Below are 19,315 nucleotides of genomic sequence, written 5' to 3'. Positions count from 1 at the left end.
GGATAAGGTGCATGTTTAATTTCAATTGCAGAAATGAAGGGAAGAGGCACTCCTGCCACCTGGTGGGCATTTATCCAAATTGTTTGTTCAGGTCTTTTAGGGGTGAAATTCGGGTTGTTGAATCTAGGTTGAACACACAAACATTCCAGCCCCAGCAGCAGTTGGGTCTTATTTCCTTCCCCTTGACCTGGGATCTGTACCTTTCTGTTTCCAATTAAGGCCTTTATAAATGAAAGCAACCTGGTTTGGCCAGATAAAAGTTCATGTCTCCTTGCCCGTGTCCTTGTGAACTGTATGACACTGCTCTCTGGAAATCTCGTGTGTGTACTTTTCACTTGTTAACCTCCTGTGTCCCCCACTACAAGGTCAGCTGCAAGAAGGCAGGGATTCTGTCTGGTCTTGCTATTCATGATAGTGCCTGGTACACTGTCTGGCATATTGGTCGATAGTTCCCTGATGAATGAAAATTTAACAAATAGGTGAAAACAGAGTTTTGGGTTGCCTGAGTGGCATGTTCCAAACCTTTACCATATGGTAAACCTCTTAGTTCAACTGCTAATAATTTCTTCTGTGTCTTGGGTTACAATCAACCTACCCAAGTTTGGCCTCTATCTTGCTGCAAGAAATAACTCCTGCCCATAGCTGTACCAGATTAGATTTATACAGAACCCAGTAGCCTGAAAGAAGACCTCCAATCCTACTACTTAACTATCCCAAATATCTCTCTGCTTGCTACTCATGGGTCCCAATTTGCAAGCAAGTGGTAGGTGAGTGTCCCTGGCTCATGGGACATTTTTTTTTTTTTCGTAAGGAGATAAGGGGTAGATAAGTAGAATTAGCCCAGTGGGAAATGATTTCAAGCTGCGGATTGATGATTAGGGTAATTTGTGGGTAGTCCAGAGAATGCCCCATGATCCTAAAGAATTACCATCATGCGTTGTTGCGATAGTGGTCAGATGAGTTTGAATTGATCATTGGCTGTGATTAGGGAGTCTCCTGTGCTGACCCATGTCCTCCCTTCAGAGGCATCTGGAACATCAATCCTGCAGATTATTCAGCTCATTAGGAATTCCCCGTGGAAGCTCAATACTTTCCTGAATCTGAATAGTTAAACCTCTGTGTTGCAAAAATCAAATACCATCTGGCTTTTGTGTTGTCTTGGCTAAATCCAGTCAATCCCAGCTTCTTCAATGGCATTTATGATATTCTGTTCCCACAAATCCAGAGAATCATAACTGGGTTAGAAACAGTTTTATTTAATCTTGGGTGTAGAAAGATTGTTTTCATAGATCAGACAGCATTTACCTCCATCAGAGTAAGAAAAAAGAATGTCCAGGTGTGTCCTTGCCCCAGTGATCACAGCATCTGTTGATATGTTCCTTGATATCAGTATATAGATCAAACTTACTGTCATCTTTAAAGAAGTTTACTTCATTCAAGTGCGGTGGCTCATGCCTGTAAAACCAGCACTTTGGGAAGCTGAAGTGGATGGATCACTTGAGGTCAGGAGTTCGACACTAGCCTGGCCAACATGGTAAAACCCTGTCTCTACTGAAAAAGTACAAAAATTAGCCAGGCATGGTGGCATGTGCCTGTAGTCCCAGCTACTCAGGAGCCTGAGGCATGAGAATCGCTCGAACCTGGGAGGTGGCGGTTGCAGTGAGCCAAGATCGTGCCACTGCATTCCAGCCTGGGCGACAGAGTGAGACTCCATCTGAAAAAAATAAATAAATAACTTAATGGCATTGACAAATGGTTGCCCACCCCACAAACCACCCACATACCCTAGTATCAAAATTATGGGAAATTGTTTCTTTCAAAGAGACTTCAGAAAAATATTGTATCCTGGTATAGAATGGATGGTTATTTCATTGTTTATATGAAAGGGCCTTGCTTGTTGACCAGTATTTGTATTTTAATTAATTTTTGTCCTTTCCCACTATCTAAGTAGCAAATCTGTCATAACTCCTGTGGTTACTGTCTTTTTAGACTTTGCCTGTGTGTTTGGATGTTTGGATTCCAGTAGAGAGGGTTCTTCCCCCGACACAGTCCCACCACTCGTAGTTCAATTGCAGGAGAGGAAAAACTTCATTTATCCTGTTAGATTCTGTGACTGGAGTCTGTAAGTTAAACTGACAACAGGTAGATGAACAGGAGGAAAGACATACAAATTTTAATATTTTTACATGCATGGGGCTTCACATAAAAGGAGCAAAAATGCAAAGCAGTGGTTAGACTTGGGGGCTTATATACCATTTTCCTTTTTTTTTTTTTTGAGATGGAGTCTTACCCTGTCACCCAGGCTGGAGTGCAATGGCATGATCTTGGTTCACTGCAACCTCCGCCTTCTGGATTCAAGCAATTCTCCTGCCTCTGCCTCCCAAGTAGCTGGAACTACAGGCACAAGCCACCACGCCTGGCTAATTTTTTGTATTTTTAGTAGAGACTGAGTTTTACCATGTTGGCCAGGCTGGTCTCGAACTCCTGACCTCAGGTGATCTGCCTGCCTTGGCCTCCCAAAGTGCTGGGATTAGAGGCATGAGCCACTGTGCATGATCAAAAAAAGCAATTTTTAAAAAAAAATTACCCAGGAGTGGTGGTGTGTGCCTGTAGTTGCAGATACTCAGGAGGCTGAAGTGGGGGGATCTCTTGAGCCCAAGAGTTGGAGGCTGCAGTGAGCCATGATTGTGTCACTGCACTCTAGCCTAGGTGACAGAGAATCTGAGAAAGAGAGAGGGAGGGAGGGAGAGTTTGGGTTCCTAGGGCTGGTAAGTTGTGGAAAGATGACTAGGAAGTGGTGGGTAAGGGTTGTTTAGTAATGTTTGTCATGCCAACTCATCTCTGTGCCAGTCACCCTGCCTTGGTATAGAGAAACATCTTTACATGGGGAATTTCCCTGCTTTTAGGCAGAAAGGGAGTGGGTAGAGAGCTCTTTTTGTCTGCAGTTTCTCAGTTGCCCTCAGCTCAAAATAATCCTTATGCCGAAGTGGCCTCTTCTGGGGTAATGTATTCTGATCCCCTTCAACACCAATAGAAAATCAAGGTAGATACACACCCCTCCTCCCAAAGTCTCAAGAGGGTGAAAGGCAGGAACTGCAAGGATTATATTTGTCTTCCTTATACGGCTCTTTCTCTGTCTCTTTTTTTTTTTGAGATGGACTCTTGCTGTATCGCCTAGGCTGGAGTGCTCACTGCAACCTCTGCCTCCTAGGTTCAAGTAATTCTCCTGCCTCAGGCTCCTTACAGGCAACCGCCAGCACACCCAGCTAATTTTTGAATTTTTAGTAGAGACAGGGTTTCACCATGTTGGCCAGGCTGGTCTCACACTCCTGACCTCAAATGATCCACCCGCCTCCACCTCCCAAAGTGTTGGGATTACAGGCATGAGCCACCGCACCCGTCCTCTTTTTTCTCTCTACGTTCAGTTCAGTTCTTCCAGTCTGTCATCCTGGATTTGTGGTCATGGGTAATATGTAAGATCGTTAGTCTGTCTCTGCTTTTGCAACCTTGACTGCCATCTGACAATTCAGGATAAGGCCTCTCTGCTTTCATGATGCTGGGCACATCTGATTGAGGTAAGAGCTCTTGACGGGATTGATGGAGGGCTTTGCAGCTTCGTTATTGATGGGTAAAATGTCTCCCAGCAAATGTGGGTGTCTAAGAGTATGCAGGGGAACCCACCTCCATGGCATGTGGGGTGAGGGCCTGGTATCATTTCTTTGAACAAACCATGGCTCCCAGTGGAGAGGGAATGTATTAGTCAGGCTAGGGCTGCTATAACAAATTACTATAAATGGCCAAGCGTGGTGGCTCATGCCTGTAATCCCAGCACTTTGGGAGGCTGAGGTGGGTGGTTGACTTGAGGTCAGGAATTCGAGACCAGCCTGGCCAACATGGCAAAACCCCGCCTCTACTAAAAATACAAAAATTAGCCAAGCATGGTGGCACACACCTGTAATTTCAGTTACTCGGGAGGCTGAGGCAGGAGAATCACTTGAACCCGGGAGGCAGAGGTTGGAGTGAGCCGAGATCGCACCACTGTACTCTAGCCTGGGCAACAGAGTGAGACTCTATCTCAAAAAAAAAAAAAAATACTATAAACTTGGTGACTTAACACAACAGAAATTATTTTTCTTGCCATTCTGGAGGCTGAAGTGTCCACAGGACTATGCCCCCTCTGGAGGCCCTCATGGAGAACTCATCCTTGCTTCTTCTAGCTCCTGGTGGCTCCAGGCATTCCCTGGCTTTTGGCTGCATTGTTCCAATCTCCACCTCTGTCTTCACATTGCATTTCTTCTCTCTCTCATCTCTGTGTGTCTCTTATCAGGACACTTGTCATTTAATTTGGGCTGAGATCATCCAAGATGATCTCATCTGGAGATTCTTAATCACATCTGCGAAGATCCCCTCCCCTCCCCTTCCTCCCCTTCCCTCCCTTCCCCTCTCCTTCCCTCCCCTCCCCTCCCCTCTTCTTTTTTAAGACAGAGTCTCACTCTGTCGCCCAGGCTGGAGTACAGTGTGGTATGATCATAGCTCATGGAGCCTCAATCTCCTGGACTTAGGTGATCCTCCCAACTCAGCCTCCTGAGTAGCTGGGACTACAGGTGTGGGCCACCATGCCTGGCTAATTTTTATTTTTTTTTTAGAAATGGAGTCTCGCTATATTGCTGGTCTCAAACTCCTGGGCACAAGCAATCCTCCTGCCTTGGCCTCCCAAAATGCTGTGATTACAGCAGGCATGAGCCACCGTGCCTGGCCGATCCTTTTTTCCAAATAAGGTCACATTCACAGATTCTAGGATGAAGACATCTCTTGGGGTGGGGGACCCAGTTCAACCAGCTGCACACGGGATGTAGATAAATGCTGGAAGGGCCCAGAGGACGCCTCTTGATGATGGAGTAGGGTTTCTCTTTCTTCATTAGCAAGGGAACTACACATATTTGTAGAGCAGTGCCCCTTAAAAATCATCGTTTATATTTTCAGTTCCTGTCTCAGCAACCAGATGAAGTATTGAGTGGAGTCCCTTCCATCCACATTAATCTGTTGATGGGAGTGGTGTGTTCCTTCAACATTACCACCAGGTGGCAGCCAAGAACTTAGAGTCAGGCGGGCTCATGCTTGCTGCCTGACCCAAGTACATGGTCTTAGCTCCTGAATTGAGATCCAAGTTTGCAAATAACGACAGAGGATGCCAAATCACCTTTGCTCTGGCCTATTCAGTAACATGTCACTTAATAGGGAGAATTACCGGATCAGTCCACCAGCCAGCCTAGTGTGGCAATAACTTACCCCAACTGTTTAAGCATTTACATAGCACTACCTGTTTTTTGTTTGTTTGTTTGTTTTATTTTTGAGAGGGAGTTACGCTCTTGTTACCACGGCTGGAGTGCAATGGTGCGATCTCGGCTCACTGCAACCTCCACCTCCTGGGTTCAAGTGATTCTCCTGCCTCAGCCTCCGGAGTAGCTGGGATTACAGGTATGTGCCACCACGCCCAGGTAATTTTGCATTTTTTAGTAGAGATGGGGTTTCTCCATGTTGGTCAGGCTGGTCTCGAACTCCCAATCTCAGGTGATCCACCCACTTCGGCCTCCCAAAGTGCTGGGATTACAGGCATGAGCCACCGTGCCCGGCATACACACCTGTTAATTTTGCCTGTTTTGCATTTCTTTCCTTACTTTGGGGTAGTTGGGAATGTTAATCACTTTAGCCCCTTCCCTAGCACAATTATTGTTTCAAAGATTGGCATATTAAGTCATTCCAGTGGGAGCATCACAAAGAAAATCTGATATTCTTTTCTTTCTGTGAATCAACCTGTATCTTTCCTGCAAGTTATTCCCCCGACACACTTGCTTGCTGTCACAGGACCTTCACTGATGGGATCTGCATTTTGTTAACAGTTTAAGGTGGTCAACTCTAGCACAGGCCAGGCCAAAAGTCAAAAATTCTTCATTACTGAATGAATATCCTAGGTAGATTATACAAGGATGTCCTTATACTACCAAAGAATGTTCTTTTATAATATAAAAGGATGTCCTTATTCAGATGTCCCTAGACCAATTACTTTAACTTTTGGAATGTCCAAATACAGCCAAAATCGACCCCTGAATTGTTTCTAAAACTGAGATCTTTTATTAAAATAGCAAAAGGAAGAAGTGATAGGTTCCATGAGGCCTATAGTTACAGAGATTTATTATTGAATTTGTTCAAAACATTTTTGTGTTTTAAATATTTCCCAGATGATTCTGATATGTGACCAGGGTTGAGGACCAGCATTTCTCTATGAGAGCTAGATCAGGTGTGAATTTCAGAATTAGAGGTGATTAATTTGACTGTTATCTCTTTCTCTCTCTACTTTTTGTGCCTGGAATACTTAGTTAAAACTTATTAAGCACGGTGGCTCACACCTGTAATCCCAGCACTCAGGGGAGGCGGAGGCAAGCAGATCACTTGAGGTCAGGAGTTCAAGAGGAGCCTGGACAACATGGTGAAACCCCGACTCCACTAAAAAAATACAAAAATTAGCCAGGTTTGGTGGTGTGTGTGCCTGTAGTCCCAGCTACTCGGGAGGCTAAGGCAGGATCACCTGAACCTGGGAGGCGGAGATTGCAGTGAGCCGAGATCGCACCACTGCACTCCAGCCTGGGTGACAGACTGAGACTCCATCTTAAAAAATAAATTAATTAAATAAAACCAATTAATCTCAGGAGACCTGATTCTCTCTTGCTGAGATGGGTAGAGAGAAATCCTTTGGCAACTAAACCTGTTACTCTAGCATTGTCTCTGTTTTCCAAAAATCCTGCTTAAGCTTTACTTATCTGTATTTAATGTGAACCTATCCCCCCTTATTGTTCTTCTGTGCCACCTCATCTTAAAGTCTATACATTGATAGGTTCTGCATTGAGTTCTTGCACTTCTCTAAGGAAAGAGAGCAAGAGAATTGTGGAAGTTTGGAAGAAGTGAGGGTAAAGAGACTGGATATCTTTCCAAGTTAAAGCAGTTTGGAGCCAAGGCTGATGGTAAAGAGAATATTGCAGAATTTGTTAAATATCCATTAATGAGTAGAATCTGGCAATTCCTGGAACCATAGTTCGAGATTGAGGGTGGAATAAAGATATATCAGATACACCCACAATCAGAGAATTTAACACCTATAGCCCCTCATTGAAAGAAAAAGTGTGGGATGCAAGAAAAATGGTGAATACAGAAATATGATAAAAATGCCAGTAAATTAAACAATTATTGACTGGAAACAGCCGTAATGAGCTCTTTTTGCTTTTAAAAGATGGGTCTAAACTTATTGATAAAAATAACAAATAGGCTGGGTGCAGTGGCTCACACCTGTAATCCCAGCACTTTGGGAGGCTGAGGCGGGTGGATTACCTGAGGTCAAGAGTTCGAGACCAGCCTGACCAACATGGTAAAATCCCGTCTCTACTAAATACAAAAAATTAGCTGGGCATGGTGACACATGCCTGTAATCCAAGCTGTGCAGGAGGCTGAGGCAGGAGAATTGCTTGAACCCGGGAGGCAGAGGTTGCAGTGAGCCAAGATTGCACCACTGCACTCCAGCCTGGGCAACAAGAGCGGAAAACTCTGTCTCAATCAATCAATCAGGCAGTAGGTGTTTATCTGGGGTAGGCAACCTGTAGTTAAGGCATTTTCTTGTAAGATCCTTTTCTTGATTGGAAGGATGTCAGAGATATGGATTAGACTTTGTTGGGAAAAAAGGTTTTGAATGTATGTTGATATTAAAACATTATGAATAAAATGACATATCACAGATCTGCATCATAATAATTCAGTGCCTGATGGGAGCTGAGAAGGTATACAGGGTTTAGATGACACAAGGTTGACACGAGTTGAAAATTGTTGGCCGGGCATGGTGGCTCACGCCTGTAATCCCAGCACTTTGGGAGACCGAGGCGGGCGGATCACCTGAGGTCGGGAGTTCGAGACCAGCCTGACCAACATGGAGAGACCCCGTCTCTACTAAAAAATACAAAATTAGCCGGGCATGGAGGCACATGCCTGTAATCCCAGCTACTCCAGAGGCTGAAGCAGGAGAATCGCTTGAACCTGGGAGGCAGAGGTTGCAGTGAGCCAAGCTCGCACCACTGCACTCCAGCCTGGGTGACAGAGGAAGACTCTGTCTCGAAAAAAAAAAAAAAAAAAGTAATGTATGTTGACATTTGAGGGAAGTCACTGAAAGAACAGAAAAACAATGAAATTACTGTAAACAAGCAGAAGGAAGAAGGAAGAAAGGAAACGTTTCAACAGAAGGAATAGAAGGAGAAAAATAAGCAAACAAAAAGGATAATAAACAAAGAAAATACACAAAATAATATGGTATAAAATAAGTCTCACTGCACATTTCAGTTGTGAACCCAAAAGTATGAAAGACAGATCTCAATCGATTTAGAAAGTGTGTTTTGCCAAGGTTAAGGATATTCCTGTGACACACAGCCTCGGTGTTACAGGAAAGCGGTCCCGATCCAGACCCCAAGAGAGGGTTCTTGGACTCCACACAAGAAAGAATTCAGGGTGAGTCCACAGATTAAAGTAAAAGCAAGTTTATTAGGAAAGTAAGGGAATAAAAGAATGGCTACTCCATAGACAGAACAACCCTGATGGCTGCTGGTTGCCCCCCCTTTTTTTTTTTTGAGACAGAGTCTTGCTCTGTCACCCAGGCTGGACTGCAATGGCACGATTCTCCTGCCTCAGCTTCCCAAGTAGCTGGGACTACAGGCACATATGCCATCATACCCAGCTAATTTTTGTATTTTTAGTAGAAACGGGGTTTCACCATATTGGCCAAGCTGGTCTCAAACTCCTGACCTCAGGTGACCCACCCGCCTCGACCTCCCAAAGTGCTGGGATTACAGGCATGAGCCACTGCACCTGTCTGGTTGCCCATTTTTATGGTTATTTCTTGATTATATGCTAAACAAGGGGTGGATTATTCATGCCTCCCCTTTTTTAGACCATATAGGGTAACTTTCATGCGTGTCTGTGTGCAGAGACCACCACACAGGCTTTGTGTGAGCAATAAAGCTTTTTAATCACCTGGGTGCAGGTGGGCTGAAGCGAAGGGAGATAGAGGTGGGGCTGTTTTATAGGATTTGGGTAGGTAGTGGAAAATTACAGTCAAAGGGGGTTGTTCTCTGGCTGGCAGGGGTGGGGGTCACAAGGTGCTCAGTGGGGGAGCTTTTGAGCCAGGATGAGCCAGGAGAAGGAATTTCACAAGGTAATATTGTCAGTTAAGGTAGGAACAGGCCATTTTCACTTCTTTTGTGATTCTTCAGGCCATCTGGATGAATACATGCAGGTTTGGGCTCAGAGGCCTGACAGTAACTTGCTGACATTTCCATGGCATTTGTAAGCTCTCACGGCACTGGTGGGAGTGTAGCAATGAGGATGACCAGAGGTCACTCTTGTAGCCATCTTGGTTTTGTTGGGTTTTAGCCGGCTTCTTTCCTGCAATCTGTTTTAACAGCAAGGTCTTTATGACCTGTATCTTGTGCTGATCTCCTGTGTTGTCCTGTGACTTAGAACGACTTAGTCTGTGAATGCAGCCCAGAAGGTCTCAGCCTTATTTCACCCAGCCCCTATGAAGATGGAGTTGCTCTGGTTCACACACCTCTAACATTAGGAAGTCCAGATGACACGTGCCTACTGTGGTTGGGGCACAGCTTGGATTTATACATTTTAGGGAGATATGAGACATCAATCAATATGTGTACGATGTACATTGGTTTGGCCTGGAAAGGTGGTGTTAGAAATAAGAGCTCAGAGTCATAAAGAAAATGAGCACTCAAACAAAAGATTTCTCAGCAAGCCAAATTTACTTCTGCAGAAAGGTGCAGCTTGCACCAGTCATGACTGCAAGAGCACACTGAGCGGGGGAGGGCAGGGGTTTTATCCCTAACGCAGTTCCTAGCACTTCTGTGTCCTTTCCCCATTGGCTGAGGTTGGACTTCACAATCTAAGCTAAGGTTTAAACTGAATAGGGTCTATTAGATGGGAAGGAAGAGGGACTGTCCTTTACTAGGCCAGAAGGACTTGTCTATCTAAGCACCGCAAAGGCGAGAAGGTTGTTTACAGAACAGGTAGCTAGGAGACAAGGAAGTACAAGGAAGTTGGTCATAAGAAACAAAGAACAGAGAACTAAAGCTTTTTGAAGATTAATTTATCATCTCTGACATTGGGACAACTGGGTGTAGGGTGGGAATTTCCAGGTCATAGGTAGATGAGAGACAAGGGGTGCATTCCTTTGAGTCTCTGATTAGCCTCCCACTGAATATGCAATTTACATGTGAGAGGAGGGTAGAGGAATAGTCACTTAGGCCTTAGTCTGGTTTAGTGAAACAATAGGGCAGAGGAAGCAATCAGATAGGCATTTGTCTCAAGTGAGCAGAAGGAAGACTTTGAGTTCTGTCTGTCCCTTGTCCACAAGGAATTTCCTTCTGGGAAACTTGTGAGGGAGGTATGCAGCTTTTTTTTTTTTTTTTTTTTGCTGTTGTTGTCAAACCTTTGTAGCTATGTTATTTAGGAATAAAATGGGAGGCAGGTTTGCCTGACATAGTTCCCAGCTTGACTTTTCCCTTTTGCTTAGTGATTTTTGGGGTCCCGAGATGTATTTTCCTTTCACACAGTAATCACTATAAATAGAGTCTGAGGGTAGAATCTATCAGATTGAACTGAAATAAACAAACTGTGAAGGAGACCATAAGAACCTCACCCAAATCTCCCAAAGTAAGAGTTCCCAGATTCTTCCAGCTCTGATATAACTTGTGTGTTTTGGATTTTTTTTTTTTTTTGAGATGGAGTCTTGCTCTGTCACCCAGGCTGGAGTGCAGTGGTGCGATGTCGGCTCACTGCTGCAACCTCCGCCTCCCAGTTTCAAGCAATTCTCCTGCCTCAGCCTCCTGAGTAGCTGGGACTAGAGGTGTCCATGACCACGCATGCCTGGCTAATTTTTGTATTTTTAGTAAAGATGGGGTTTCACCATGTTGGCCAGAATGGTCTCGATCTCCTGACTTCGTGAGCCACTGCGCCTGGCTGTGTGTTTTGGATTTTTTTGAGAGTCTGAACTAAAAGAGACTTTGGAGATCTAAATCCTCTCATTATAGTTGAGGAAACTGATTTAGGAAGGGAAAGCTACCTACTCAGGGTTACATATTAAATGAGAGCCAGGGAAACCAGAAACCAGAATCTCCTCCCAATCCAACAATTTTTCCTATTCACCAGAGATTCCCGATTCATCAACCACAGGACATAAGATTAGTCTAGAGCGGATGTCACTGGAAAGGGGTCCCAATCCAGACCCCAAGAGAGGGTTCTTGGACCTCGTGTGAAAAAGAAGTGAGAGCAAGTTTATTAGAGAAATAAAGGAATGAAAGATGACTACTCTGGCTGGGCGCGGTGGCTCACACCTGTAATCCCAGCACTTTAGGAGGCCGAGGCCGGTGGATCACAAGGTGAGGAGGTTGAGACCAGCCTGGCCAATATGGTGAAACCCCATCTCTACTAAAAATACAAAAATTAGCCAGGCATGGTGGCAGGCACCTGTAGTCCCAGCTACTCGGGAGGCTGAGACAGAAGAATTGCTTGAACCCGGGAGGCAGAGGTTTCAGTGAGCTGAGATCACACCCCCGCACTCCAGCCTGGGTGACAGAGCGAGACTCTGTCTCAATTTAAAAAAAAAAAAAAAAAGACTACTCCATAGGCAGAGCAGTGGCATGGGTTGGTCAAATGGGAATACTTACAGTTATTTCTCAATTATATGCTAAACAAGGGGTAGATTATTCATGAGTTTTCTGGGAATTCCTGAAACTGAGGGTTCCTTCCCCTTTTAGACCATATAGGGTAATTCCTTGGCGTTGCCATGGCATTTGTAAACTGTCACGGTGTTGGTGGAGTGTCTTTTAGCATGCTAATGTGTTATAATTAGCGTATAATGAGTGATGAGGGTGACCAGAGGCCACTTTCGTGGTCCTCTTGTTTCTGGTGGGGTTTTGGCCAGCTTCTTTAACGCATGCTGCTTTTTGTTTTTGTTTTTTTTTTTTTCTTTTTTTGGAGACCAAGTCTCGCTCTCGCCCAGGCTGGAGTGCTGTGGCGCGATCTCGGCTCACTGCAGGCTCTGCCCCTCTGGGTTCACGCCATTCTCCTGCCTCAGCCTCCCGAGTAGCTGGGACTACAGGCGCCCGCCACCTCGCCCGGCTAATATTTTGTATTTTTAGTAGAGACGGGGTTTCACCGTGTTAGCCAGGATGGTCTCGATCCTCTGACGTCGTGATCCGCCCGCCTCGGCCTCCAGAAGTGCTGGGATTACAGGTGTGAGCCACCGCGCCTGGCCCTAGTGCATGCTGTTTTAACAGCCAGGTCTTTGTGACCTGTATCTTGTGCTGACCTATCTCATCCTGTGACTAAGAGTGCCTTAACCTCCTGGGAATGCAGCCCAGTAGGTCTCAGTCTCATTTTACCCAGCCCCTGTTCAAGATGGGGTTGCTCTGTTTCATACATCTCTGACACAGACACAGAATTTCATCAGATTTAAAATTTTGCCTCACTTTATTGACAATAAAAAACCAGTGATGGGGAAGGCACACGCCATTCTCTGTTGGAAGTGTGGAGTGGTGAAGCCTTGAGAGCAATCTGTCAGGATTCTACACCGATAACTGCCCTGAAAAGCCTGGAAGAAAATATACCCAACTGGTAAGAGTAGTTGCCTCCTCAGCAGAAATGTTCCCAGACCAAACTGAGGGTCGGGCTGCTTATTCCAGTGGCCCAATAACAACATGCAGATGAACTGGGAAAGGAGGGAATTTTTATTTGGGTAACTGGTTACAGGGAGAAGACCTGGAAAATATCACCAGACTAACTCAAAATTAGAAAGTTTTCCAGTGCTTATATACCTTCTAACCTATATGTCTACATGTAAGTCTACATTCATCTGAAGACATAAGTGATTAACTTTTTTTCTTTTTTCTTTTTTTTTTTTTTGAGACAGAGTCTTGCTCTGTCACCCAGGCTGGAGTACAGGAGCGCTATCTTGGCTCACTGCAACCTCTGCCTCCTAGGTTCAAGTGATTTTCCTGCCTCAGCCACCCAAGCAGCTGTGATTACAGGCACGTGCCACCATGCCCGGCTAATTTTTGCATTTTTAGTAGAGACAGGGTTTCACCATGTTGGCCAGGCTGGTCTCCAACTCCTGAACTCAGGTAATGCACCCACCTCAGCCTCCCAAAGTGCTGGGATTACAGGCTTGAGCCACCGCACCCAGCTAACTTCTTTTAATCTATAACTAAGGTCTCAATCCTGAAGACCTTCCTCTATAAATTTACTTAATCTAAATGGCTCCAGGTGCTGGGGTGATTACCCTTATCTTGTCTCCTGCTAAATCATGGAGGTTTGGGGAATTCCTTCAGACCTGATGGGACAAGAGTACCACCATCTTAACAAGACTCCACCACCTTAAACTATCAAGTTTCCATTTCTCAGAACTGTCCATTGCCACCTGACCAAACTGCAAAAGTCAGCCCCACCTATATCTTCAACAGAGCATAACAACCCTAAGCAAGCTTATCAAAGTCCCCAGCAGTCCCAACCAGCCAGCACTCCCCTAACCCCTCCCCCATAGGAACCACACCCAGAGCACACTGCCCCCACTGGGCCCTTTTTAAATGCCTCAGGCTGTAAGAGAAGTTTGCTCCTGATCCTGCCAGCCAGAAGCCCTTCTCAGGTTTACTCTCAATAAACCAGTCTCAAGTGTTTGAGCCACTCTCTTGTTTCGTCTTCCTTCTCTTCTCTCCCACTGCTCTAACAGGACCCCCAATAAACTTCTTCATTGGAGGCCTGGGGAGTTTTTTCAGACCCCCAATGAAACTTGTTTAATCCTAAACAGGTCCCATTAAGAATTCCTTCGTTATCTTGTCATGCTTTATAAGGCCCAGGAAAAGCCTAGGCAAAACTCTTGGTGGACTTTTGTTACATTCCAGCCTTTGAATAAGGGCACTGGCTCTCTCAGCTTTTAACCACTCAGTCAGTGCTGAGACAGTTATGGAGGCCTATGTTAATGAGACCTGGCCTGCCATGGAAAGTCTGAGTTGGGAGTGACTGGTGCTAAAATGAGACTTTTGATTTTTTTTTAAGTGCTATATTTATAAAATAATTTTCTATTGGGAATATGTTCACATATTGTGATTTTTTTGAGAAGAGGCTGCTGGGTGCGGTGGCTCACGCCTGTAATCCTAGCACTTTGGGAGGCTGAGGTGGGCGGATCACAAGGTCAGGAGATCCTGGCTAACACGGTGAAATCCCGTCTCTACTAAAAATGCAAAGAAATTAGCTGGGCATGGTGGCAGGCACCTGTAGTCCCAGCTATTTGGGAGGCTGAGGCAGGAGAATGGCATGAACCTGGGAGGTGGAGCTTGAAGTGAGCTGAGATCGTGCCACTGCACTCCAGCCTGGGCAACAGAGCGAGACTCTGTCTCAAAACAAAAAAAAAAAAAAAAGAGAGAGAGGCCAAGCACATCTGTCATCCCAGAAAATTAAGAGTCCGAGGCAGGTGGATTGCTTGAGCTCAGGAGTTCAAGATCAGCCTGGCCAACATGGTGAAACCGCATCTCTACAAAAAATATAAAAATTAGCTGGGCACGGTGGTGCGCACCTGTAATTCCAGCTACTTGGCGGGTGAAAGGTTTCCTTGAGCCTGGGAGGTCAAAGCTACAGTGAGCCAAGATTGTACCACTGCACTCCAGCCGGGGCAACAGAGTGAGACACCCTGTCTCAAAAACAAATAAATAAAATATATATATATATTTAATTTATATATATCTTTATATTATATAAAAATATAACATTACATATATTATATATCAACAGAAGATGGCAAATCACTCAGAAGTAGTCCTGGAGATAAATATATATATCATTTATTTTTATATATAAAAATAAATAACAGATATATATCTTTATTATATATAATATATAAAAATCCCAACATATATAATATATATATGTGTTATCTATTATATATTATATAAAAATCCCAACATATAGAATAATAATATAATATATAATATATATTTATATATAATATATTTATAATATATAATATATATTTATATATAATATATTTATAATATATAATATATATTTATATATAATATATTTATAATATATAATATATATTTATATATAATATATTTATAATATATAATATATATTTATATATAATATATTTATAATATATAATATATATTTATATATAATATATTTATAATATATAATATATATTTATATATAATATATTTATAATATATAATATATATTTATATATAATATATTTATAATATATAATATATATTTATATATAATATATTTATAATATATAATATATATTTATATATAATATATTTATAATATATAATATATATTTATATATAATATATTTATAATATATAATATATATTTATATATAATATATTTATAATATATAATATATATTTATATATAATATATTTATAATATATATTTATATATAATATATTTATAATATATATTTATAATATATAATATATTTATAATATATATTTATAATATATAATATATTTATAATATATATTTATAATATATAATATATTTATAATATATATTTATAATATATAATATATTTATAATATATATTTATAATATATAATATATTTATAATATATATTTATAATATATAATATATTTATAATATATATTTATAATATATAATATATTTATAATATATATTTATAATATATATTTATAATATATTTATAATATATATTTATAATATATATTTATAATATATATTTATAATATATATTTATAATATATATTTATAATATATATTATAAATATATATTTATAATATATATTTATAATATATAATATATTTATAATATATATTTATAATATATATTTATAATATATAATATATTTATAATATATATTTATAATATATATTTATAATATATATTTATAATATATAATATATTTATAATATATATTTATAATATATAATATATTTATAATATATATTTATAATATATAATATATTTATAATATATATTTATAATATATAATATATTTATAATGTAATATATATTTATAATATATATATAATATATATAATATATATTATATATAATTATATATATATAAATTATATATATATAAAATAGATAATATATATTATATATATAATTCAATGATATATATCTTTATATATTATGTATAGTTATATATCTTCTATTTTTATAAATAAAATAAGAGATATATAATTATATATTTTATTTATTTTTATTATATATAAAATACATAAGTGATATATAATAAGTGCTATGTAAAATAAATGATATATGTTATATAATATATATCTTTTATTTATTTTTATTATATATAAAAATAAATCAGTTATATATATATTTATCTCCATGACTACTTCTGAGTGACTTGCCGTCTCCTGTTGACCCTCTTGTCTTAGTAAATCAGCAGTTAGGAAACAAGGTATTTTTCATTCTCTGCCTCCCCTAGCATTTTTGCTTTGTCCTAGGTATTTTACGTTATCTCATTGTTGGGATTTTGCTCTGACTTGGTCTTGAAGTCTCTCTTGGTCAAGGATCTATAAACTCTAGCCCTGTCCTGATGGGACTCCAGGAGAAGTGGGCGTTTGGAACGTGCCTTTCATGGGATTCTTCTTTTTCTGGTGGACGACCTAAAGCCTGTGTCCAGCTGGTTACCAGGTGTTCCTCTCCCACATGACTTGTTCGTACTGGAAGACACCCTTTTGCTGGTGCTGACCTGTGTCCAGTTTGTTCTTACCAACACGGCCACTTTCTGGGAGGAGAGCCCTGACCAGGAGGAGAGTCAGGCTCAGGTGTGTGGGTCAGGTGAGACACAGAGCTGGCAGTGCAACAAAACACAGGAAACCACAGCAGCGCTTTCTGACTCACAGGTCCAGAGAGAAGAGTGGTGACCACAGGGTTGACGGGACGTCCAAAGGCAGCAGGGAGCTCATCCAGTGGGTGGGGAGCAAGAGAGAGAAGGATCTGCAGGACTAAAGCCTTTACTTGGGTCCAGGGAATCACCCCAGCAAGTTTCCTGTGAGGAGTTCCCACTGGTGGCTTTAAAGCAAGCTTGACCAACTCACGGCCCACAGGCTGCATGTGGCCTCGGATGGCTTGGAATGTGGCCCAATACAAATTCGTAAACTTTCTTAAGACACTGAGATTTTTTTGTATTTTTTTTGTATTTTTTTTTTTTTGTTTAGCTCATCAGCTTTCATTAGCATTAGTGTATTTTATGTGTGGCCCAAGATGACTCCTCTTCTTCCCATGTGGCCCAGGGAAGCCAAAAGGTTGGACAGCCCTGGTTTAAAGCAAGCAGGCACGGGTCGGGCTGTAATTGAGAGGTGATCACTGCGGCATATCTGCACAGCACAGGCAGGCTGTGGGGTTCACTGGAGTGAGTCAGGCAGGTTATATCTAGCTATCCCATGGTGGGGTGGTCACCAGGATAGGGCAGACATCTGGATGGATGACACTGAGGAACTGGGAGGAGGTGGAGAACTGCAAATTGGAACTAAGCCCTGCTTCTGGTATGGGAAAGTGTAACTTGTATTCAAAATGGAGCCATACAAACGCAAATTAAAACCACAATGAGATTCCACCTTACTCCTGCAAGAATGGCCATAATTAGAGTCAAAAAACAATAGATATTGGCATGGATGTGGTGAAAAGGGAACACGTTTACACTGCTGATGGCGATGTAAATTAGTACAACTACTTTGTAAAACAGTGTGCCTCAAAGAACTAAAAGTAGACCTACCATTTGATCCAGCAATCCCACTACTGGGTATCTACACAAAGGAAGAAAAGTCATTTGAAAAAGACATATGCATACATGTTTATAGCAGCACAATTTGCAATTGCAAAGATATGAAACCAAACTACATGCCCATTGACCAAGGAGTAAATAAAGAAAATGTGGTGTATATACACCATAGAATACTCAGTCATAAAAAGGAACAAAACAATGTCTTTTGCAGCAACTTGGATGGAGCTGGAGGTCATTATTCTATGTGAAGTAACAGGAATGGAAAACCAAATACTGTATGTTCTTCCTTTTTTTTTTTTTTTTTTTTTTTTTGATCTAGAGTCTCACTGTGTCACCTGGGCTGGAGTGCAGTGGGGCAATCTTGGCTCACTGCAACCTCCGCCTCCCGGCTTCAAGTGATTCTCCTGCCTCAGCCTGCCAAGTAGCTGGGATTACAGGTGTGTGCCATCACACTCGGCTGATTTTTGTATTTTTAGTAGAGACAGGGTTTCACCATGTTGGTTAGGCTGGTCTTGAACTCCTGACCTCAAGCAATCCACCCACCTTGGCCTTCCAAAGTGCTGGGATTACAGGCATGCGTCACCATACCCAGCCAAAAAAATATGGAATGCTTCACGAATTTGTGTATTATTCTTGCACAGGGGCCATGCTAATCTTCTCTGTATCATTCCAATTTTGGTATATGTGCTGCCAAAGCAAGCCCTGTTCTTACTTTTAAGTGGAAGCTAAGGTATAAGGATGCAAAAACATATGGAGTGACATAATGGACTTTGGGGACTTGGGGTGGGGTGACATTGGGAGGTGGGAGAGATAAAAGACTACATACTGGGTACAGTGTACACTGCTCAAATGACAGGTATAATAAAATCTCAGAATTCGCCACTAAAGACTTCATCCATGTAACCAAAAACTACCTATACCCCAAAAACTATTGAAATAAAAAAAGCAAATAGAACCATAAAATTATAAGAATTTACCACACTCATTTATTCCTTACAGTGGCACTGTATGTATCTATCAGGATTCTTAGTCTCACTTTTATTTTTATTTTTATTTTTTGAGACAGAGTTTCGCTCTTGTCACCCAGGCTGGAGTGCAGTGGCATGATCTCAGCTCACTGCAACCTCTGCCTCCCGGGTTCAAGCGATTCTCCACCTCAGCCTCCCGAGTATCTGGGATTACAGATGTGTGCCACCACGCCTGGCTAACTTTTGTATTTTTTTCAATGGAGATGGGGTTTCGCCATGTTGGCCAGGCTGGTCTCGAACTCCTGACCTCAGGTGATCTGCCTGCCCCAGCCTCCCAAAGTGCTGGGATTACAGGCATGAGCCACCACACCTGGCCTAGTCTACCTCTTAATAGAAGAATAACCAGTTAATTATGGAAAAAGAAACAGAGAAAAAGAGGGAGAAGGAGGGAGGAAAGAAGGGGGAAAGAAAAGAGG

The 19,315-nt window shown here is 41.6% G+C and overlaps 1 pseudogene, besides 3 other annotated features; it reads right to left on the bottom strand.

Annotated features, from left to right (window-relative positions):
* Nucleotides 4,934-5,023: an enhancer, noted in NCBI's record as "active region_10380". NCBI's record gives its function as "activates an Ori minimal core promoter by ATAC-STARR-seq in GM12878 lymphoblastoid cells {active_cell/tissue: GM12878}" and the evidence as "EXISTENCE:reporter gene assay evidence [ECO:0000049][PMID:35858748]".
* Nucleotides 10,089-10,896: an enhancer, noted in NCBI's record as "OCT4-NANOG-H3K27ac hESC enhancer chr16:10597803-10598610 (GRCh37/hg19 assembly coordinates)". NCBI's record gives its function as "activates a minimal SCP1, AML or CMV promoter by ChIP-STARR-seq in naive H9 embryonic stem cells {active_cell/tissue: H9 hESC(naive)}" and the evidence as "EXISTENCE:reporter gene assay evidence [ECO:0000049][PMID:30033119]".
* Nucleotides 16,960-17,148: a transcriptional cis regulatory region, noted in NCBI's record as "candidate enhancer chr16.1145 targeted for multiplex CRISPR interference". NCBI's record gives its function as "positively regulates ATF7IP2 gene expression in K562 cells {active_cell/tissue: K562}" and the evidence as "EXISTENCE:mutant phenotype evidence [ECO:0000015][PMID:30612741]".
* Nucleotides 18,469-18,572, bottom strand: RNU6-633P (RNA, U6 small nuclear 633, pseudogene; annotated as a pseudogene).

This window comes from Homo sapiens, chromosome 16 (genome assembly GCF_000001405.40).
Source record: "Homo sapiens chromosome 16, GRCh38.p14 Primary Assembly".
Taxonomy (NCBI): Eukaryota; Metazoa; Chordata; class Mammalia; order Primates; family Hominidae; genus Homo; species Homo sapiens.
This window is presented reverse-complemented; position numbering and strand designations above follow the sequence as displayed.